Consider the following 24299-nt stretch of genomic DNA (forward strand, 5'->3'; position numbering starts at 1 on the left):
ACTTGCTACAAACTTTCTTTAGAAAGGTCCTTCCAATTTGAAAATCCCCCCAGGAGAATATGAAAGTATCCATCACATACGCGCTGACCAGCATTAAGAGTCTAGGTTATTTTTTGAATTTTGTGATTAAAAGAGATAGCATAAATTATTTTAATTGGCATTTCTTCCATTGCTAGTGGGGTCTACTGTCAACTTTCCATTGTCATTAACCTGTCATACCCACTAGCACGTGAACCACAATCAGTTACCTATCATAGCTTCATGATATGTGGGGCTGGTCCTAACAATATATTTTTTCCTCAGAAATGTTTGTTTATTCTGCTCATGTTTCTAGGTGAATTTTGGAATGATTGGAATCATGTTGTCGAGTTTCTTAACAAAACTTCCCTTTGGGATTTTGATGAGGTCTGTATTAAGTAAACCAGGTCCTCCCAATTACACCCAGAAAACCCTTGAAGTCACCCAACCACATGCATTAGCATCTCACTTCAGGAAGCCTCAGGAAGCCCCACAGTCTCCACTTCTAGCATCCCTGCTGTATCCTGAGGCTTTCTGCCCTAAGCAACAAAAGGCCCAACAATGAAGTAGCCTGATATGGTTTGGCTGTGTCCCCACCCAAATCTCATCTTGAATTGTAGCTCCCATAATTCCCACGTTATGGGAGGAACCCCATGGGAGGTAGCTGAATCATGGGGGCGGGGGGGTCTTTCCCATGCTGTTGTCCTGATAGTGAATAAGTCTCACAAGATCTGATGGTTTTATAAAGAGGAGTTCCCCTGCACATGCTCTCTTGCCTGCTGCCATGTAAGATGTGACTTTGCTCCTCTTTCACCTTCCACCATAATTGTGAGGCCTTCCCAGCCATGTGGAACTGTGAGTCCATTAAACCTCTTTCCTTTATAAATTATCCAGTCCCAGGTATGTCTTTATTAGCAGCATGAGAACACACTAATACATAGCCTAAATCATGAGGAAGGATTTATACCCTCACCAATAGAAAACCCTGAGGCAAGACTTTTCTAGGTTTAGCCCTGGCAACTGCACAATGTCTCCAAGGCTTTGCGTTTTCCCATTTGGTCCGTCCTCAGTTGGTCGGCTGGGATAGCTACTTCAGACCCAGATCATGCCATCATGTTAACCAGTCACAGTTTCCAAAGTCACAGAGGGGAGTTTCTTTTTCAAGATTTTGTTTTGTTTTGTTTTTGATTAAGGAGGAAGGCCCTTCCTGGAAGTTCTCGCACAGACCTCTCATAGATTTCATTGGCCAGGTTGGCATCATCTGACTATGCCTTCTCCAATCAGTGGTGTGGGGAAGGAACTGCCATTGGTTCTGGAAAATCCAGTCACATGATGGGGCTGGACATGACCTCCTTCCCTTAGCATGAAGAGGGTAAGCATCAGAATAAAATCGGAGAAAGAGGGATGCAGGACAGAAGGTATTGGCAGCTGAGTAACAATGGCTACCACACCAGGATTTTCTCAAATTGCATTTTGGGAAACACAAATTATAGAGTTAATCCTTGCTCTGGGTGTCTAACTATTTGTGGTACTGAATCTTATGCTATTTGGGGACACTCTTTTTTTAAAAAAAGAATAGGAAATATCTCATACAAAATTATGCGGGGGAGCATTCATCTAAAAGGAGAAAAATACAGCAAATTATGTATTTTTAGAGTCTAGCAAATTACCACAAATACCGCAAACTCTAGAAAAAGAACATAATATTTATCTGCCCTGCTCACCTATATTTTTATAACCGATAATTCTGAAGAATAGACAAAATTAGGGCATATACAAAAGTAATTCAAGGCACATTATTGATTTACATAATTATATATAATCAAATTACTGTTGTGTTACATACACGGACTTACTGATGAACATGTCTAGGACTTTTGTCACTGTAACACTTGTGAGTTTAGAATGCTTCACTTCATTAATGGCAATTCTGAATGCCGTTGTATCCAAAATGTCCACTTTGTCAGGGCAAGACATGTCAGATCTGTGCATGCTGCATACGGCCTGTGACTTCTCATGCAGATGTATTTACTGTTTGGTACTGTTGTAGCTTTCTATTGCTGTGTAACAAATCACCACAGACTGGGTGGCTAAAAACACACAAATTTATTGCCTCACAATTTATACAGGTCTGAAGTCTAGGCACAGCATAGCTGGATTCTCTGCTCAGGGTCTCAAGCAGAAATCAATGTGTCAGTCAGGGTTACAGTTCTCATTTGGGGTTCAGGGTCCTCCTATAAGCTCTCTGGTTTCACTGGTTGTTGACATGATTCATTTCCTTGCAGCTGTAGGACTGAGGTCTCCATTTTCCTCCTAGCCACTAGCCTGAGACAACTGGCAGCATCTAGAGGCTTACGTACCATGTGACCCCAGTAGGAAGTTTACAATATTAATGTTTGCTTTTTTTCCCCACTGCAAACCAGCTAGGGGTATGTCTCTATGTCTTTTTCTTCTGCTACCAGCCAATCTCTCAGCTTTAAAAGGATTCATATGATTAGGATTGCCCCTACTCCTCCTAGTCTACATATTTTAAAGTTAACTGAGTTGAGAGGTTAATTACATCTGCAAAATCCCTTTATAGTAGTACTCAGATTAGAATTGGATTGAATAACTAGAGAAATGTGTGTGCACACTAGGGCCAGGAATCTTGGAGGGCCATTTGTTAATTCTGCCTAGCAGAGGCACTATTATAGGTTTGTGCCTTACAGATGTAGGGATTCTGATACTAGTGTGATTCTCTTCAGGATTATAATTGTATATGCTACATTATTATATATCCTAGCAGAAAAACTTGTTTTTGACTAGGCATTGATGAGTGCCAGATTGCTGGCAATTTCACATGACAAGATTGAAAAAATTTTCCAAAGATATCTCTGGTTCTCCATATTTCAAACTTTGTTTCCTTTCTTTTACCATTGTCTGTCCTCTGGAAAAAATAAAATAATGTTCTCTGGTAAAATAAGTTTGAAGTGCATGCCAGGTCCCCATTCAGAAGACTAACAGGATACATTCATATAGAGATCCTCAATTCCTTATCAACAATTCTGAAATTCACAAAGCTCTGAAGCCAGTGCTTTACATGGTGGAAACATGTAACATGAACTGAAATGAAGCTACTTATGGGTCCTTACTGATTTTGTTATCAATTATGTATATCACTGTAGAAATATTAGTCATTCATTGTAAGATGCTGCCAAGACTTTCAGGAGTCTTAGGACACAACTCTCTAAAAATTTTAAATTCTAAAAAAAAAAAAAAAAAAAAAAAACTAGGCCCCAAGGATTTCAGATAAGAGAGTGTGAACTATTATTAAAAGCTAAAAGATATAGTATTTAAAACTATTTAGCGGGCAAATAATCATAATTATCTGCGCAGGGAAAGATGTTTTCCATCTATTCTAACACCAACGGATGTACTTCAATTCAGTTCTGGCACTAAGCACCCAGAATTAGTGCAGACTCCGTAAGTCAAAGGGCATGGTTCCAAGCAACACTGTTTTCACTTCAGACACCAGCTAAAAACGGGGCCCCTAGGCCACCTGCACGTAGGACACACCGACTACAATTCAGGGGTTCCCGTGACCACTTCTAGTTCAATAATTTGCTAGAATGACTTGGAGAACTCAGAATGTGCTATACTCATGGTTTTACTATAAAGGATGCAACTCAGGAATAGCCAAAGAAAGAGATACACAGGGAAAGCCCTGGGAGGCTCCTGGACGCAGAGCTTCTATGCCCTGTCCCCGTGGAGTCAGGACACATCCTCTTCCCAGGACATTGATATGTTCACCAGCCAGGAAGCTCCCACAGGCTTCAGTGTCTAGTATTTTTATTGGACTTTCATTATGTAGGCATGACTGATTACATCATTGGCCACGTCATTGAACTCACTCTCCAGCCTCCTGTCACCTTTCTGGAGGTCAGCCTGGTTCAAAGTCCCAGCCCTCGAATGATGCAGCTGGTCTTTCTGGTGAGCAGCTCTCATCCTGAAGCTATCTAGGAGCTGATCGTGAGTTATTAACATAAACTCAAGTGTGGTCTAAGGGTCTCATGGATAACAAAAACACTTTTTATCACTTGGGAAATTATAAGGGTTTTAAAAGCTCTGTGCCAGAAACCCTGGGCAAAGGTCAGACAAATTCTCTATTATGCAGCAGCATCGTATGACTATTAACATTCCTAGCATGTTCTTCCTTTATCACTAGTGGGGCTGCTACCTGCGACTAAGACCCAGTTTCTGATGCTGTTCTTTTGTTAATGTTCATATGCGATAGGAAGAGAGACTTCCACAACGTCCCCCTTGGGTTGATTCCTGTCTTCAATCCACTTTCTATTCCTGGGTGGGAACAGGGAGATTTTTATTCAAATCATATGCATGTTTTAATAAAATATGTAAACATAAATACCCACACATACTTCTTTTGGTCAAATTTATCGTCTAACATTTTATAATTACCTGCTGGCATATACTTGGTTTATATTTTTCTTATGTTTTCAAAATAGTAGTTGCTGACTTGGAGGAATGCTACTGATTTTTATATATTTATCTCTCTGATCTCTTTTACTCATAACTCTTATTAATTCTAATACCATTTTGGTTGATTTGGATTTTTGTAAATAGTAAACCATGTCATCTTCACATAATGATACCCTTTCTTATACTGATGTCAATCAAGGAAAATGACCAAGGCATGGCTCAATCATTTTAGGAGGTTTATTTGCCAAAGTCAAGACTCGCGCCTGGGAGACAGGTCTATGCCTTTTTCCGAAGATGATTTTGAGGGCTTCAATATTTAAAGGGGAAAGGGCGGGATATTGAGAAATACACAATTTTCATGTGAGATGGGGGAAGGGGAAATATTCGTGCCTTTGTCTGGCTCGCTGAATCTGCACTTTTACGTAAGATAATGTAGACAGTAGGGCACAAGAAACAATCAGATATGCGTTTGTCTCAGGTGGGCAGGCAAAATGTAAGTAAGGTATGTAGCTCTTCATCTTTGTAGCCATCTTATTTAAAAAACCAAAATGAGAGGCCAGGTGCGGTGGCTCACACCTGTAATCCCAGCACTTTGGGAGGCCGAAGCAGGCAGATCACCTGAGGTCAGGAGTTCGAGACCAGCCTGACCAAAATGGAGAAACCCCATCTCTACTAAAAATACAAAATTAGCTGGGCGTGGTGGTGCATGCCTGTAATCCCAGCTACTTGGAAGGCTGAGGCAGGAGAATCATTTGAACCCAGGAGGCAGAGGTTGCAGTGAGCCGAGATCGTGCCATTGCACTCCAGTCTGGGTAATAAGAGCAAAACTCCGTCTAAAAAAAAAAAAAGGGAGGCAGGTTTGCCTAACTCAGTTCCCAGCTTAACTTTTCCCTTTGGCTTAGTGAGTTTGGGGTCCCAATATTTATTTTCCTTTCACACTTATAACACCTATTTTTGTTTCAGGCATTATGAGAATGTCCAGGATATTCAGAATACACTTAAATAATTACGATGATGCCAGAAGCTCTGTTTAGTTCTTGATTTCAATGGAGACATTCCTGGTGTTTTATTGTTAACCATGATACAATATTGGCTGTTTTGGAATATACTTTGTCATACTAAGGACGTAGACTTCAAGTTTAGCATTTTTATTATTAATGGATGTTAAATTTTATATATGACCATTTAAACACCATTAATTTTTTTAATATGATTTATTTTAAGAGACTAATAACAGAATCCCTTTGCAGGTTTTTTTTTAATATAAAAGTATGCCTCAAGTTCTAATTCTAGAATTCTAGAATCATCTGAAAAAGCTAATGTTATCACCCTTATTAAGTCTCAGTTAAAGAATCCCTCCAGATAGTTTTATTGCATGGACCTTACCTAATTATTGGACTCAAGATTCTGATACTTGAATTAGAGAAAGCCAGGTAGCTACGTGTTCTACTTTAGTACTTTGTAAACATCAGTGAATATGGACAACAATGTAAGCTGCCCTTTGGGGAACAACTGTTCTACCAAATCAGGGGTTAGAAAACAGAGGTCCATAGGCCAGATCCACCCCTGTCCACCCTACCTCCCACTTCCATGCACTGCTGTCTTTTTGTAAATACAATTTTATTGGAACACAGCCATGCCCATTTATTTATGTATCATTGATGGCTGTTTTCATGCTATATGGCAGAATGTAGTCATTGCAACAGAAACGTATGGCCCACATGGCCTAAAATATTTACCATTTGGCCCTTACAGAAAAGTGTGCCTACCTCTGTTCTAGATACTAACCAGTATTCTGAGGGGAAAAAAAAATGTTAGGAAGGCATTCCACTGTTAAGTAAATTCAAGAAGTAGTATATCCCTTCATGAACATTTAAATTTTACTCTAACAAGTAAAAAAAAAATTCTGGAATCCTACAGAAATACACATACACCCTCACACACACAGTTGGCCCTTGAACAATGCTGAGGAGAGGGGTGTTGACCCCCACCATGTAATCAAAAATCCACATGTAACTTGATTCCCCCAAAACTTGACTACTAATAGCCTACTGTTGCCTGGAAACCTTACCAATAACATAAACAATTAACACATATTTTGTGTATGTATTACACACTGTATTCTTACAATAAAATAAGCTGGGGAAAAGAAAGTGTAACTAAGAAAATCATAAAGAAGATAAAAAGTATTTGCTATTCATGAAGCAGAAGTAGATCATCATGAAGATCATCCGCACAGTGTTCATGTTGAGTAGGCAGAGGAGGAAGAGGAGGAAAAGGAAGGGTTGTTTTGCTATCTCAGGGGTGGCAGAAGCAGAAGAAAATCCTCATATATAGTGCAAACTCATGTTGTTTAAAGGTCAATTGTATGCATATATAAGCTCACACATATACAGCAATTTGGTTTTATAACATTATTTTACATACTTTTTTATACTTCCAAATCTATTTTCCATTGAAGAACTACTAATATTTCTCAGCACTCTAGAATTTAGTGGATTCTACTCTAGAATTTAGTGGTGGATAATGTGGACTTTAGAACCAGATAATTCCAGCTCCCTCTTCCTCACCTCTGTGACACAAGTGAGTTTCTCAACCTCTCCTCCCACCATGTGACTGTGCTGAGTTCTTGTGAGAATTTAGTGAGATAAATGTGCAAGATGCCTGATGTCAAATAAATGGAAAAAATAATAAATGCTTGCTGTAAGGTGTTATTTATTTTCCTATCACTGCTGTAGAATTCTCTATTTCTGCATTTTGCCTCTCCTTTCCTTTGGTCCTGCTTTATCTGACTCAAAGATTATTTGTAATATGGTTTGGCTATGAACTTGCTCATAGTTTGAATTTGCTAGGCTGAATAGTAAGGATGAAGTGAGTCCGTGACTGACTGGCTGTTGCTACAGTCAGCTTTCATTCATAACAAAGGTTATTAACTTACCTGTGATGTTTTTATGGCAATTGTGTGGGAGGCCACAAGGTACAAAGGGAATTCCTTTGGATCCAGGCAAAAGTACACTCACACTGGCACTTTGACCTGTGACAAGTTCCTTGCTTCCTATTAGCTGGCTTATCTATTTTTATAAACTAGGACTAAGAACAACTAATTAAAAGATTACCAGAATAATGTGAGTTAAGGCTTGTGAAGTAGCTAGTCTGTTTTCTGCAACACAGCAAATGTTTCCCAAGGGTTGATTCTTTCCTGCAAAATTGCTGACACAGTTGAGAGAGAGTTTTAGATTGAGGTAACCCTTGGGAGGGAGGCAATGTATTGCAGTGGTTGAGAATGTGGACTTCAGAACCAGATATACTCCAGTTCCCTCTTCCTCACCTCTGTGACACAAGTGAGTTTCTCAACCTCTCCTTCCACCATGTGACTGTGCCGAGTTCTTGTGAGAATTTAGTGAGATAAATGTGCAAGATGCCTGATGTTAAATAAATGGAAAGGATAAGAAGTACATTGCCAAAGTATTAGCATGATGGTCATAGAGGTATCATGCTATGAAAAGGGAACAATGAATTGGAAGTTGAAAGATACAGCTTGAAGTCCTCGAGTGAGCCACTAACTTACTGGTTCGACAACCAGTAAGATAATCAAGTAAGGTTATCTAAGTAAGGTTAACCAATAAGATAACCAAGTAAGGCACTAACTTACTGGTTATCTAACCAGTAAGATAACCCTACTTAGATAACCAGCAAGTTAGCTAGCTTGATCTGGTTATGTAACCTCTCTGGGCTTCCATCTATCATCTTTGTGGGCTTGACCTAGGTAATACTGTTATACATTTTAGAGCATTTTAAGGGCTACAACATATTTCACACACTTTATTTCACTTTGCAGTCATAATAGTATAGCTCAGGTTCTGTGAAATAAGACTTTATGATGCCAATATAACTAGATTAGAAGCACTTTCTTTTTTTACCTCCAGCCCCTTCTGTGATGCCATTTCTGTAGCCAAATCATTTCCAATGTCCGCAAAGGGGGTCCTTGTTAGGCACTATTTTTATTAATACACAAATGTTCCAACTCAATTGGCTTCCGGGCTAATGAATTTAATTTGACAAGGAAATTAATCAGTTCTAACTAGGCTTCTAAATTATTCCTTGCGCCTTTATGTTTCCTTGGCTTGCATTCACTTTTCCACATGCTGCTGTTGTTGGGGCTTTTCAGGCTACTTAGGGTCAATGGGACAGGCTCCATCACTAGCCTTAAGGCCTCATTCAAGTTCATGGTGGGGTTACTCCTGTGCTGGGCTGGAGGTATTACTGGATTCAAGCCTAGCCCCCAGCATAACCACCAGCTCTTTCTATGGGCTGGGCCTCTTTGGTTCTTTAAGAAACTTTGGTATGAACAGAAGCAACTTTGAGACATGGGATTGTAGATGAGAAAAACCACTGGGAAAGGGCAGATTTGCGGATGGTGAAAGCAAACCAGTGACAGCCGCTCCCAGTGAAATTTGCCTCTGAAGTGTCTCAGGGCTACCTTGTCATCACACATGTTTGCTAGCCCTAGAAAGCATCCAAGCCAATGTGAGACATCCATCGGTTCATCTGCTCAGGAGGAATGTTCCTTCTTGGAATAGTAATGTGACATTGATTTGTGGCAAGACAAGAATTCCATCCAATAAAACTCTAATGCAATATTGGACCATCATAAAAATAATTGAGAAAAAATTCAATGTTTAATCTCTGCTAATTTAATATTCCTAAAGATATGTGAATAGGGCTTCGGGTCAGATTGATTTTACCATGGTCAATTTTTTGTTACCTTTTTCCCCTAAATTCCTTTGAGTCAGAAAAAAAAAATCAGAGTTATTGTGAAGTTTGGGAATGTATTCTGTTTTGTTTGTTATTGTTATTGTTATTTGTATAGCATTTTAGGGTAGCAATTCCATTTTAAATATTTTTTTCCTAGGGAAATAATCATATAAATACTAAAGATAATGATAATTAACAATTCTTGTGCTTATCATTTGCCAGAGATTGTGCTAAGTGCATTATCAGCATCATTTATTTTAACTTCAAAAAATGGATTGAATTAAAGATTAGTGTTATATTCATTTGATTTTACAGATGAAGAAAGGAAGTTCGGAAAGGATAAGTACAATGCCAAGGTCACACAGCAAGGTAACTGATAAGGTAAAAATTTCTGGCTTATCTAACTCCTAATTACTATGACACACTAACTTATGCTGCATATAACTGCATACTGTATATTTAAATAAAATATAAATGTAAAGAAAAAGGACTGGAAGGATATGTGCTAAACTATTAACAGTGTTTGGTTTTAATTAGTGAGATGACTTTTTTTCTTTTTATTTATTTATTTATTATTATTATTTTACTTTAAGCTTTAGGGTACATGTGCACAACGTGCAGGCCAGTCACACATGTATACATGTGCCATGCTGGTGTGCTGCACCCACCAACTCATCATCTAGCATTAGGTATATCTCCCAATGCTATCCCTTCCCCCTCCCCCGACCCCACAACAGTCCCCAGAGTGTGATGTTCCCCTTCCTGTGTCCATGTGTTCTCATTGTTCAATTCCCACCTATGAGTGAGAATATGCAGTGTTTGGTTTTTTGTTCTTGTGATAGTTTACACAGAATGATGATTTCCAATTTCACCCATGTCCCTACAAAGGACATGAACTCATCATTTTTTATGGCTGCATGGTATTCCATGGTGTATATGTGCCACATTTTCTTAATCCAGTCTATCATTGTTGGACATTTGGGTTGGTTCCAAGTCTTTGCTATTGTGAATAATGCCACAATAAACATAAGTGTGCATGTGTCTTTATAGCAGCATGATTTATAGTCCTTTGTGTATATACCCAGTAATGGGATAGCTGGGTCAAATGGTATTTCTAGTTCTAGATCCCTGAGGAATTGCCACACTGACTTCCACAATGGTAGAACTAGTTTACAGTCCCACCAACAGTGTAAAAGTGTTCCTATTTTTCCAGCACCTGTTGTTTCCTGACTTTTTAATGATTGCCATTCTAACTGGTGTGAGATGGTATCTCATTGTGGTTTTGATTTGCATTTCTCTGATAGCTAGTGATGGTGAGCATTTTTTCATGTGTTTTTTGGCTGCATAAATGTCTTCTTTTGAGAAGTGTCTGTTCATGTCCTTCGCCCACTTTTTGATGGGGTTTTTTTTTTTCTTGTAAATTTGTTTGAGTTCATTGTAGATTCTGGATATTAGCCCTTTGTCAGATGAGTAGGTTGCGAAAATTTTCTCCCATTTTGTAGGTTGCCTGTTCACTCTCATGGTAGTTTCTTTTGCTGTGCAGAAGCTCTTTAGTTTAATTAGATCCCATTTATCAATTTTGGCTTTTGTTGCCATTGCTTTTGGTGTTTTAGACATGAAGTCCTTGCCCATGCCTATGTCCTGAATGGTAATGCCTAGGTTTTCTTCTAGGGTTTTTATGGTTTTAGGTCTAACGTTTAAGTCTTTAATCCATCTTGAATTGATTTTTGTATAAGATGTAAGGAAGGGATCCAGTTTCAGCTTTCTACATGTGGCTAGCCAGTTTTCCCAGCACCATTTATTAAATAGGGAATCCTTTCCCCATTGCTTGCTTTTCTCAGGTTTGTCAAAGATCAGATATTTGTAGATAAGCAGCGTTATTTCTGAGGGCTCTGTTCTGTTCCATTGATCTATATCTCTGTTTTGGTACCAGTACCATGCTGTTTTGGTTACTGTAGCCTTGTAGTATAGTTTGAAGTCAGGTAGTGTGATGCCTCCAGCTTTGTTCTTTTGGCTTAGGATTGACTTGGCGATGCGGGCTCTTTTTTGGTTCCATATGAACTTTAAAGTAGTTTTTTCCAATTCTGTGAAGAAAGTCATTGGTAGCTTGATGGGGATGGCATTGAATCTGTAAATTACCTTGGGCAGTATGGCCATTTTCATGATATTGATTCTTCCTACCCATGAGCATGGAATGTTCTTCCATTTGTCCTCCCTAATTCATTTTATGAGGCCAGCATCATCCTGATACCAAAGCCGGGCAGAGACACAACCAAAAAAGAGAATTTTAGACCAATATCCTTGATGAACATTCATGCAAAAATCCTCAATAAAATACTGGCAAAACGAATCCAGCAGCACATCAAAAAGCTTATCCACCATGATCAAGTGGGCTTCATCCCTGGGATGCAAGGCTGGTTCAATATACGCAAATCAATAAATGTAATCCAGCATATAAACAGAACCAAAGACAAAAACCACATGATTATCTCAATAGATGCAGAAAAGGCCTTTGACAAAACTCAACAACCCTTCATGCTAAAAACTCTCAATAAATTAGGTATTGATGGGACGTATTTCAAAATAATAAGAGCTATCTATGACAAACCCACAGCCAATATCATACTGAATGGGCAAAAACTGGAAGCATTCCCTTTGAAAACTGGCACAAGACACGGATGCCCTCTCTCACCACTCCTATTCAACATAGTGTTGGACGTTCTGGCCAGGGCAATTAGGCAGGAGAAGGAAATAAATGGTATTCAATTAGGAAAAGAGGAAGTCAAATTGTCCCTGTTTGCAGACGACATGATTGTATATCTAGAAAACCCCATTGTCTCAGCCCAAAATCTCCTTAAGCTGATAAGCAACTTCATCAAAGTCTCAGGATATAAAATCAATGTACAAAAATCACAAGCATTCTTATACACCAACAACAGACAAACAGAGAGCCAAATCATGAGTGAACTCCCATTCACAATTGCTTCAAAGAGAATAAAATACCTAGGAATCCAACTTACAAGGGATGTGAAGGACTCTTCAAGGAGAGCTACAAACCACTGCTCAAGGAAATAAAAGAGGATACAAACAAATGGAAGACTTTTTTTCTTATTTTCCAAGTTTTGTTAAATAAAAATGTGTTACATTGCACACACACACACACACACACACACATACTCTACTCCCCTCTAAATGTTTCTCCCCAATTTTCTATTTCAACAAATGGCTTCACCCCTACCCAAAACAAAACAGGTAGCTAGGAGCTGTTCTTGATTCCTCTCTTTGCCTTAACCTCAACAAGCCCTTTCAATAAGACTATATCCCCAAATATATCTACTACTCACCTGTTTTACTTCCAGGGACATTGCCATTATCCTTCCTGACTTCTACCACTGTCTTCACCACATGGCAGCAAGAGAGATCTTTTGAAAATAAAAATCAGAATGTGTTTCTTGCCCTCTGAAAACTGTTGGTGGCAAGTAGAATAAAATCTATGCCTACCCCACACTCCTAGCCTCTCTGGATATGGTTGATTCCTGCTTTCTTCTTCAATTCTCCTCCTGCCATTTTCCAACCTCTCACGAGGCTCTGTGAGGGTTTTCCCCCAAGGCCTCAGGCATGCTAGAATTTTCATTCACATGTTCTTTCTGTGGTTAGGACCCTCTTCTCCCGCCTCTCGAGGGGAAGATCTAGTCAACTCTCATTTCTTTCCTTCCTTCCTTCCTTCTCCTCCTCCTCCCTTTCTTTCTTTCTCTTTTCTTTCCCTCCCTCCTTCCTTCCTTCTTTCCTCCCTTCCTTCCTCCTTTCCTGCTTTTCTTCTTTCTCTCTTCTTTCTTTCAAAGAGAGACAGGGTCTCACTCTGTCTCCCAGGCTGAAGTGCGGTGGTACAATCATAGCTCACTGCAGCCTCGACCTCCTGAGCTCAAGTGACCTTCCCACCTCAGCCTCTGGCTCTGGAGTAGCTGGGACCAAAGGCATGTACCACCATGCCTGACTCCATTTATTCTTCATTTCTCTGCTAAGAGGCCACCATCGCAGAAAGAGGTCCCTGTCTATCTTATCAAAAACAGGAGAATAAGATACATGAGGTCCCATCTCTTACTGAGCGTCCGTCTTTTGAAAAGTGTGCTGGTTAATTTTATGTGTCAACTTGACAAGTCTAATGAATACCCCAGATACCTCTTATTCTATAAACTCTCCCAAAGAACTCTGTTATTTTCTCCTTCAGAGCATTTTTTACTGCAGAAAGCTGAAATTAAAACACTTTGAAATTACTTCGAAGTGTTTCACTTTGTTTTCTTCTTCATGATCTATCTCCTTCTCCATTACTCAGGGCTCTCCAGAGAAAAAGAACCAATAGGATAGATGGATGGATGGACAGAATGAGAGCAAGAGAGAGATAAGACAGTCAGATAGATAGATAGATAGATAGATAGATAGATAGATAGATAGATAGATAGAGGATATTTATTATGAGAGTTGGCACACAAGATTACAGAGGCTGAGAAGTTCCACAATATTCTGTCTGCAAATTGGAGAACCAGGAAAGCTGGTGATATAGTTCAGTCCAAAACTGAAGGCCTGAGAATCTGGTAGGGGCTCCTAGGGCTGCTAATTTGTCTTGGAGTCTGAAAGCCTGAGACCCAGGAGCTCTGATTTCTGAGGGCAGGAGTAGATGAATGTCCCAGATCAAGAAGAGAGAGGGAATTAACCTTTCCACTGTCTTTTTGCCATATCTGGGCAGATCACCTTTATTCAGTTGACTGATTCAAATGCTAATCTCTTTTGGAAACAACCTCACAGGCATAATTTTTTTCCAGCTATTTGGGTATTCATTAACCTTGTCAGGTTGACACATAAAATTAATCAGCACACTTTGCAAAAGACTGACACTCTGTGAGAGATGGGAGCTCACGTATCTTATTCTCGGCCCAGCACAGTGCCTGGCACCCAGTGGGGTGCTCAACTAATTATTAATAGCTAAAGTTTAGTAAGTTGGAGACATGAACTGCCCCTGAGGCAAGCTTGAACAATTTCAAGCCATTACAAATTTACTATTTAACCAAGGGCATGTTGCTGAGTCCCTGGGATTCAGAGACCAACTGTACAGCTGGGAAGCTTCTAAGTTAACTTTTATATAGAATGTAGCATTTATTAAAGCATAAAAAATTAAAATGTGATGATATAAAATTTTCATATATATTTAAACTTAATAGTAACTGCAGAATTGTTTATAATTTTGACCAGCAAAATTTTTTTCAGAAAGGAATATTTCACGACTGACATTGAATAGCAATGTCAGATTAAAAAACAGACAACTTTTAGTCAGTTTTAGTATTGTTAGATTATCTCTGGATAAGGGACCCTTTTATTGCCTGATCCAGGATGGTCCCCTCTCACTGCTCAGATGCACTTGGTACCCACTGGGATCACACAACTTCTGAAACCTTGGGCTGTGACTATGTCTTTATTGACTGGAAGTTCTCAGACAACCACTGTGACTCATACTTTCCACTTCTATACAATGGGTACACGAATGGCTTCCTCATAGAATCATTGTGAGAAGTGAGTAAGAAGAGAGTAGAATATTTTAAATGCTTGTTAATGGTCATGCCATCATTTGCTTAAGGATAGAGATGGTCTTGTTTATCTTTTTATTTTCAGCAGAAAAATAATGACTGGAGCTTCATTGCATTTTGTAAAAATGATCAAATTGGGGTTTTTTTTTAGCCTCCCTGTGTGTCAGGGCATCCTTAGGACCTCAGAAAATGTTTGCCTGAAGGCATGATGAAAGGTGAGAAGTTGTCCCCACCCAATCTTCTTTCAAGTTGTCTTTCAGACCCGCATTGTGGTTCCAGGGTTGCGTACAAGGCAGGCAGTAGGAAGAGAGGGTTTCATCTTGGATTGTAGTCTGGAAAGGGAACCCAGCACCCCACCACCCATAGGATTTGCCTTTGCTGTGTTTCAGCTTTCTGCCAAGAAGGCAAAGTGGGCAGAGCAGGAACCTTGAGAACAATGAGACATGAGTTCCAATCACAGCACATCTTAGGAGCTGTGTGACTGTAGGCATGCTACTTAACATCTCTGATCTTAACTATTCAATGAGTGTAATAGGCCTGTTATAATGGGATTGCTGAATAAATAGCATTGTGTATCCAACATGGTATTTTGAACAGTCAATGCTCCATAAGTATTAATCTGCTAATGTCTTATTTCAAGATTTTTGTGTAAGTGGGGGAAGAGAGTGGGAGAAGGACAAAGGGAGAAGGAGAAAGGGAGGAGGAAAAGAGAGAGAGAGAGAAAGTCTCAAAAGATAGACCATGTAATGTCTGCAGAACACAGCAGGTTTCTTGGAAAAGTGATAAAGAGCAAGAAGCAGCATTCAGCTCGGGCTGTGTCCATGACCACAGGCTCAACCCTGCTGTTTGCAGAAGGGGAAATTCTTGAACTGTAAATATTAGACCAAAGAAAACGTGGCTTTTGTGAATTTCTTCTGGGCTGGTTTCTGAGAAGGGTTGCTTTCTGTGCCAGCTCCCCACCTCCACGTCTGTTCCCTGGCCTCTGGAATGTGGCCCCCATGGCAGAGCCTGAATTGTTACCAGGGTGATGAAGATGTCCTTGGCTCAACGTTTGCTGACTAGGGCCTGAAAGGCTGATCAGGACTTAATGACCAGGGACTTGTAATGTTCAAGGCAGCTCTGGCATCAAGATGGAATGAAAACTGGCAGCCCCAAGGAGGCTTGCCTACCCCTGCTCCTCAGTCCAGATTTCCATTTATTCACAATGTTTCCAAAGCATCCAGTTCATGGTATGTGGTGGCATAACTGACCTCAGAAGACCCTCCTTAGAAATGTAATGTGTGTTTAATGGGTTCCAGTCTTAGTTCTGCTACTTAGTTATGTGACCTTGGATAAGTCCCTTTACTTCTGAGTTTCATTTCCTTTGAAGGGTAGAGGGGACAGAGAGAAAAGAGGGTGTTACACTTATATCTTTACAGCACAACAAACCGCTCCAAACCTTAGTGGCTTAAAACAACAATTTACTATGGTCTTTTATGGTTCTGCAGGTTGACTGGGCTCTGCTGGGCAGCTCTTGCATCGGGTGTCTAGAGATGCAGCCATCTGAAGACATGACTAGGCTGGACGTCCAAGAAGGATTACTTATATGGATGGCACTTGATGCGGGTTGTCATCTGGGAGCTCAGTTGAGGCTGTTGACCTGACAGCCAACATGTGGTCTCTCCATGTGGTGTGAGCATCTCACTGTATGGTGAACAGATTTTCAAAGAAAATACCCCCAAAGAGAGCATTCCAAGAGGTTCAGGAAGAAGTTTCAAGACTTCTTATAACCTAGTAATGGAAGTTCTAGGACATCACTTCTACCATATTCTCTTGGTCAAGCAAGGCCAGGCTAGGTTCAAAGGGAGGGGAAATAGATTTTACTACCTAATGAGATAAGGGCAAGATCACAGTGGAGAAGAGGTTGTAGGATAGGAGGTATTGGAGCAGCAATTTTTGGAAACTACAGTCTGCCACAAAAAAGGCAAAAAGGTGGATGAGATTGATCCCTTGGAAAAGCAGGGAGGAAAACCTTGTCATTTCTGGTTCAGTTTTATTCTGTCTGCCCCCATCATCTGTAGCTCTGTGTCAGTAGTGGATGTGGCTTTAGTGTGGTGATCCACATCTTTATTCACTGAGTACCCACTTAAAAACACTTCAGCCTCCACTCCAGGTGCATGTTCCCAACCGCTTGACCAGACATGGTCCCTCCTCACTTGGTTGCCATTTGGGGCTTCTCCTCACTTGTCTTCTCCTCTGATTTTTAATGTTACTTCCATAGAGCTCAGGAATCATCAAGACATTCTTCCCCCTTCTCTGAGAATTGGAGAGAGCTGGGGATAAGATCAGAGATGCCCCCCATTTTTACCTAAGCACATTATACCATTGCCCAGAATCCACAAGCCTCCTAAACTAAGAAAAAGTCAGATGGGAACAGGCACCATGAACTACAAGTGCAAATGCCTAGATCTTAAACGTCTTCTTTGTTGTTGGGGGAAGTCAGGGACCCCAAATGGAGGGACCAGCTGAGGCCGTGGCAGAAGAATGTGGATTGTGAAGATTTCATGGACATTTATTACTTCCCCAAATTAATACTTTTATAATTTCTTATGCCTGTCTTTACTGCAGTCTCTAAACATAAATTGTAAAGATTTCATGGACACTTATCACTTCCCCAATTAACACCCTTGTGATTTCCTATGCCTGTCTTTAATCTCTTAATCCTGTCAGCTGAGGAGGATGTATATCGCCTCAGGACCCTGTAATAATTGCATTAACTGCACAAATTGTACAGCGTGTGTGTTTGAGCAATATGAAATTTGGGCACCTTGAAAAAAGAACAGGATAACAGCAATGTTTAGGAAACAAGAGAGATAACCTTAAACTCTGACCGGTGGTGAGCTGGGCGGAACAGAGCCATATTTCTCTTCTTTCAAAAGCAAATGGGAGAAATATCACTGAATTCTTTTTCTCAGCATGGAAGATCCCTGGGAAAGAGAACATGCACCTGGAGGTATAGGCTTATAAAAAGCCCCCCCCCCCCCAAGTGCACCTGTCTCTTATGGTCAAGACTGCAGGGGTGAAATAGACCCCAGTCTCCCATAGCACTCCTAGGCTTATTAGGAAGAGGAAATTCCCCCCTAATAAATTTTGGTCAGACCGGTTGATCTCAAAAACCCTGTCTCCTGATAAGATGTTATCAATGACAATGGTGCCTGAAACTTCATTAGCAATTTTAATTTTGCCCCGGTTCTGTGGTCCTGTGATCTTGCCCTGCCTCCACTTGCCTTGTGATATTACCTTGTAAAGTACTTGATGTCTGTGACCCACACCTATTCGCACACTCCCTCCCCTTTTGAAACTCCCTAATAAAAACTTGCTGGTTTTTGCAGCTTGTGGGGCATCATGGAACCTACCGACATGTGATGTCTCCCCCGGACGCCCAGCTTTAAAATTTCTCTCTTTTGTACTCTGTCCCTTTATTTCTCAAGCTGGCCGACACTTAAGGAAAATAGAAAAGAACCTACGTGAATATCGGGGCAGATTCCCCGATACTTTATGACATTTATTACTTTTCTATGGTATGTAAAAAATTGCCACAACACATATATATATACCGTGGAATACTATGCAGCCATAAAAAGAATGAGATCATTTTTTTGCAAGGACATGGATGGAGCTATAGGCCATTATCCTTAGCAAACTAACACAGGAACAGAAAACCAAATACCTCATGTTCTCACTTATAATTGGGAGTTAAATGATGAGAACACATGGACACATCAATGGGAAAAACACACACTGGGGCCTTTTCGAGGGTGGAAGGTGAGAGGAGGGAGAGTATCAGGAAACAACTAATGGGTACTAGGCTTAACACCTGGGTGATAAAATCATCTATACGATAAACCCCCATGACACACATTTACCTATGTAACAAACCTGCACTTGTACCCCTAAACTTAAAATAAAAGTGTAAAAAATTGCCAAACGTAGCAGCTTAAAACAATACCTACTTATAAGCTCACAATTCTGTAGGTCTCCTGTCCAGGAAGCATTCACTGGGTTCTTTCCTCAGGCTATCACCAGACTGAATTTAACATGTTGATCAGAATGAACTCTCATTTGGAGGCTCTGGGGAATATCCACTTTCAAGTCAATTCAGATTCTTGGCAGAATTCAGTTCCCGCAGTTGTGAGACTGAGATCCTCATTTTCTTGTTGTCTACTTGTTTTGCTCTTGGTTTCTAGAGGCTACCTGTGTGCCTTGCCAGGTAGCCCCCTCCATTTGACCTTTAGATCCAGGTGTAAATGTCTCAGGTGTTTAGGTCAGGCCTGAGGTACCTCCCTATCTTAAGGCAAACTGATTTGGGGTCTTACTCATATCTAAAAAATTCCTTCCCATGAATACCTAGATTAGTTTTGATTGGTAAACTGGGAGAAGGTGTGTGTATACCAGGGCCCTGGAATCTTGGAGACCATCTCAGAATTTTGCCTGTCACACCTTGCTTCACTCTCTCTAATAGCTGCACCAAAGAAAGCCTAAAGGTTCTTCAGTTTGGCCACAGCCAGTTGGCAAGTGAGAGGCTTCCAGCCTCTGAAAGTGATGCCCTTAGAGCACCCACACCTGGCTTCCAGCGAGGGGCGATGTCTCATCTTAAACAACATTGTCAGTTGCTACAAGTCTCTCCTCTTCAGTGCTCCCTTCCCCTCATTCTCACAGCTTGGGCAGTACTGGCTATGGTGGCTGGTAGTGGGGCTAATTGGCCCACCTCTTAGGAAACCTTGGTCATGATGCTTCATCCTTGTGTCTGTTGGAGGTTTTGTTTAGAATAGGAGCCACTGGAGCCTATTTGTCCTCCAATTGAAGAATTCAGGAAAAGTCCCACTCAACATTCTGTGACATTGTTATTAAATGGGATAATGACTACCTTGGAAATGGTGTCCAGGGGAATGAGAAAAAGCTTATTGTGCCATTCTTACCCCTCAGGCCTTTAGAATGATAGCCTGTTTTCTTTACTTGGAACAATTACTCTCTCTAATTTTCACTTAGATGCTCTTGTCCATCCTTCCTGTTTTATCACTTTTTCCAATTTTTTCAAAGAGGTCAGCATGCCCTTATTATATTATCACATGAATATGTACAACCTTTAAGAGAAACCAATAAAAGAACTTAAAAAGAGCATATAACTTTCAATCCAGCAGGATGTAAAAGCAAATGGAATCTAAAACTCAATCAATTTAAAACAGAAAAAGGAAAATAATTAGAAAAAAACAGGAAATGAAAAATTCTTCTTATTATATTTTTTATTTTTAAATTTTTGTGGGTACATAGTAGGTGTATGTATTTGTGGGGTACATGAGATATTTTGGTGCAAGTATGCAAGGTGAAATAATGAAATAAGCACATCATGGAGAATGGGGTATCCATCTCCTCAAGCATTTATCCTTTGAGTTACAATCCAATTACAGTATTAATTTTAAAATATATAATTAAGTTATTATTGACTATAGTCACCCTATTGTGCTATGAAACAGTAGGCCTTATTCATTCTCTTTTTTGGTATCCATTAACTATCCCCATCTACTCCCAAAACCCCTACTACCCTTCCCAGCCTCTGGCCCTCCTTCTACTCTCTATGTCCATGAGTTGAATTGTTCTGATTTCTAGATCCCACAAATAAGTGAGAACATGCGATGTTTGTCTTCCTGTGCCTGGCTGTAAAGCTGTAAATAGTATGAAAGAAACAACCCCTGAGAGATCATAATCGCAATATATAAGACACAAATCTTCCAGAAATAGATAGAATGGGTAAAGATTAAAATCGTATCTTACAGAAGACATAGTTAAAAGAAAAGAAAGCATAAAGTTTGAGGGTTAATGGATGGAAAAACCTACCAGGTAAATACAATTCAAAAACAAACTGTCCTAGCTGTATTAATATCAGAGGAAATAGACCAAGGAGGGGAAAAATCTTCCAGAGATGAAAAGAGTTATTATTTAATAGTCAAAGGTTGTAATCACTTGGAAGATATAATAATTCTAAACATTTATGCTCATAATACTACAGCAAAAAATGAGAAAAACAACTGTGAGGAGAAATGACAAATCTACCACCCATACAATGAGATTGAAACTTATCTATCTCAGTAGCTGACAAACCAAACCAGAAAATATCATAAAAAACTAGAACTCTTGAGCAATGCAATTAAACAGATTTAATAGATATATAATGAACCCTGTGCCAACATTAAGTGAATATACTTTTGCTCAAGAAGACATAGCATATTTATGAAACTGACTGCATGCTAAGCCATCTAGCAAGTCTCAAACAATGGCAAATAATTGGTGTCATAGAAACTACATGCTGTGACCACAATGTAAAATAAGTTAAAAATCAGTTAAAATGAAAACATGTATTTATATCTATATTGGTTCAAAAATTTAAATCAGTAGTACAAAAATCTATAATCTAATCCTCTGTTGCCCCTCAAAAGACATAAAAACCTTATAGAAGCAAACAAATGAAACAAGTTATTCTAAAGACCTGAGGTGTGAGAATGGCACAGTGATCCTTTGCATACTCCCTGGACACATTTCCAAGGGAGTCATCTTCCCATTTAATGGCAATGTAACAGGATGTGAAGTGGAACTGTTCCTGGAACTTGAAATTGGTGATGAAGGTCCAAAGCTGAGGACAAAGGATCTCTCCTAGCCCACATTCTAATCAGCCAGCCCCCAAATTTTCTAACTGTTAGCAAAATTACTCTCACTGTCACCACCCCCACAACATCATACAACCTGAGCTGTGAGAATAAGGGTAGGAGAGCAAAGAAGAGGAGGGGGTCCTGGGCACAGTCAACTTTGTGGTATGTGTAGTATTTCAGATGAGATGCCTTCTCTCTCTGGAAGTCAAGTGTATTTTTGTCACCCTTAATTTTGGGCACATTCTCCTATGTTTCTATGTTTTCTTCTAATAGTTTAAAGTTTTGTTTCTCACATTAATGCTCTAACCCTTCTGGAATGGATTCTTGTGTGCAGTGTGAGGTAGGGATCCAATTTTATTTTATTTTCACTTACAGATAACCAATTATCTCTGTGGAATTTATTGAATGGCTTATCCTTGCTGTACTAGCCACAAAACCAGGTTTGTTAAATATTAAGTTTCCATCTTTGCTGGTCTCTTTCAGGGCTCTGTTTTCATAGCTCTGTTTTCCATCTAGGGGATGGAGATCTCAGGGAAGGTGCATGGGTGAGATAAGGAAGAGGTACCACAGAGACATGAGGCCTCAGTTTTCACTGGAGGAATTCCATACATGATGCCTAAAAATGAAAAATGAAGTAATTTCAGCATATTATTTAGAGGTCTTATGGTATTATCAAAATAATTAGCTAAATGATTGGTAAGTTATTATCTGTAGGAAGAATAGTGGAATGAAAGAAGGGATGGGGAATTTTGAATTTTCTTATTGAGCCACATAGACCCTATAAACTGAAAAGATACATGACCTTGCTAAAAATGAAAGCAACAAATAAATACCATCAGACAACATGCCTTTTTTGCATTATGGAAGGTTAGGAAACCCTAAGGTGAATTTTTTTTTGCCATGTGGCACCTTGGAACAGTCATTTCTCTTCTCTTCTTTACTTCATGAACAACATTCTCAACTGTCACAGAGAGAGGTACCAATTGGGGTCTCCTATTGTATTAGCAATGCTTCCTTTAACTGGGTATGTGATGTTCATTATTTTTTTTTTTACATGCTTGTGCATGTCTGCAATATTTCACAGAAAATTCTTACCCTGGAAAATGTCTCTACAGGGTCCTATAATATTACATTAACCTGATTAGGTCTATTTTCTTTATTAAAGTGAAGAGCAAAAGAGGAAAGGGCGGCTCCCCTCAATATCCTAACCACAAGCACAGTGCCTGACACATAGCTGGCTGTAAAAATTTTATTTGTGGATTAAGTAAAAGGTGTCCTGTAGTTCGGCAAGCTAGCATAGCTTGCTCTTCCTCATTCTCCAAACTCTACCCAAGCATTAAAGCTGAGGTCAGAGCCCCCTCCCCTGACTCCTTCCTGAGCCTTAAACTGATGACTAGTGTCATCTCTCTGAATACATCCACTATTTGTAGTCTGTACTATAAAAGAGGGAGAGAAAAGAGAATAGACATTTTATTGAGTTCTTAGAAGCAGACATTTCTTCTCATTTCATCTTCCCATCATTTCTGTAAGATACATATACCTTTGCTAGCATTTGTTCATGCCAATACAATTTGGTAAGCATTCACTATTGACCATGCATTTTAGAAAGCTCTGGAAACACAACAACGGAAAAAATGCAGCAAAACATTGTCCTTTCCTTCAAGAGGATTAATCGGAAATAGGAAAATAGGAAATTAATACTCATAGAGGTCTATGATCTTCTAGCATAGCCAGGATCTAAACTTAGTAACACAGCTTTCATGGTCTATAATATACTAGGCATTGTGCTAGGTGTGGTTCCTGTTTTTCTTGATTTACTCACACAATAACCCAATAGTATAGCACTTGCGTATTTTTAAATGAAAGAACATATTCTCTGAGAAACTTATACAAATGGTAAGAGATTGTATTAAGTTGAATAGTGCCATCTAAAAATTCCTTCTCACTGAGAACCTCAGAATGTAACCTTGTTTGTAAATAGGATCTTTGCAGATGTAATTAAGATGCAGTCATAGTGGGTTAGGGTGGGCACTAAATCCAATGACTAGTGTTCTTATAAGAAAACCATGTGAAGACACAGAGGGTCATACAAAAAAAAGGTCATGTGATTGTACAGGTGGATATTGAAGTGAAGCAGCTGCAAGCTAAGAAAACCAAGGATAGGCTGGGTGCAGTGGTTCACGCCTGTAATCCCAGCACTTTGGGAGGCCAAGGAGGGCAGACCACCTAAGGTCAGGGGTTCAAGACCAACCTGGCCAACATGGTGAAACCCCATCTCTACTAAAAATACAAAAAATTAGCTAAGCATGATGTCAGGCACCTGTGATCCCAGCTACTCGGGAAGCTGAGGCAGGAGAATCACTTCAACACGGGAGGCGGAGGTCACAGTGGGCTGAGATCACACCATTACACTCCAGCCTGGGCAACACAGAGAGACTCCACCTCAAAAAAAAAAAAAAAGAAAGAGAGAGAGAGAGAGAAAAAGAAAGAAAGAAAGAAGAAAAAAGAAAGGAAAGAAAAGAACACCAGGGATTGCTGCCACTGCCATAAGCTAGGAGAGAGATGTTATGGACTGAATGTTTGCATCCCCCTCAAATTCATATGTTCAAAGCTAATCCCTGATGTGATGGTATTAGGAGGTGGGTTTTGAAAGATAATTAGGTCATGGGAGTGGAACCTTCATGAATATTATGATCAGGGATTATTATTATATCATATCATTATAATAAGGGATTATTGCTCTTATAAGGGGCTGAAGACACCAGAGTTTCCCTCTTCTGCTATGTGA

General features: G+C 39.8%; 2 long non-coding RNA genes across 2 annotated transcripts in view; one reads left to right on the plus strand and one right to left on the minus strand.

Annotated features, from left to right (window-relative positions):
- The window catches only part of C1QTNF7-AS1 (C1QTNF7 antisense RNA 1), a 422973-nt gene that overhangs the window by 97774 nt on the left and 300900 nt on the right, over positions 1 to 24299 (minus strand). The window lies entirely within an intron of this gene.
- On the plus strand, positions 9565 to 18795 carry LOC124900673 (uncharacterized). Its single transcript, XR_007058063.1, has 2 exons — positions 9565 to 9630; positions 16316 to 18795. It is a non-coding gene; the product is annotated as an uncharacterized LOC124900673 (long non-coding RNA).

This window comes from Homo sapiens, chromosome 4 (genome assembly GCF_000001405.40).
Source record: "Homo sapiens chromosome 4, GRCh38.p14 Primary Assembly".
In the NCBI taxonomy this organism is placed as follows: domain Eukaryota; kingdom Metazoa; phylum Chordata; class Mammalia; order Primates; family Hominidae; genus Homo; species Homo sapiens.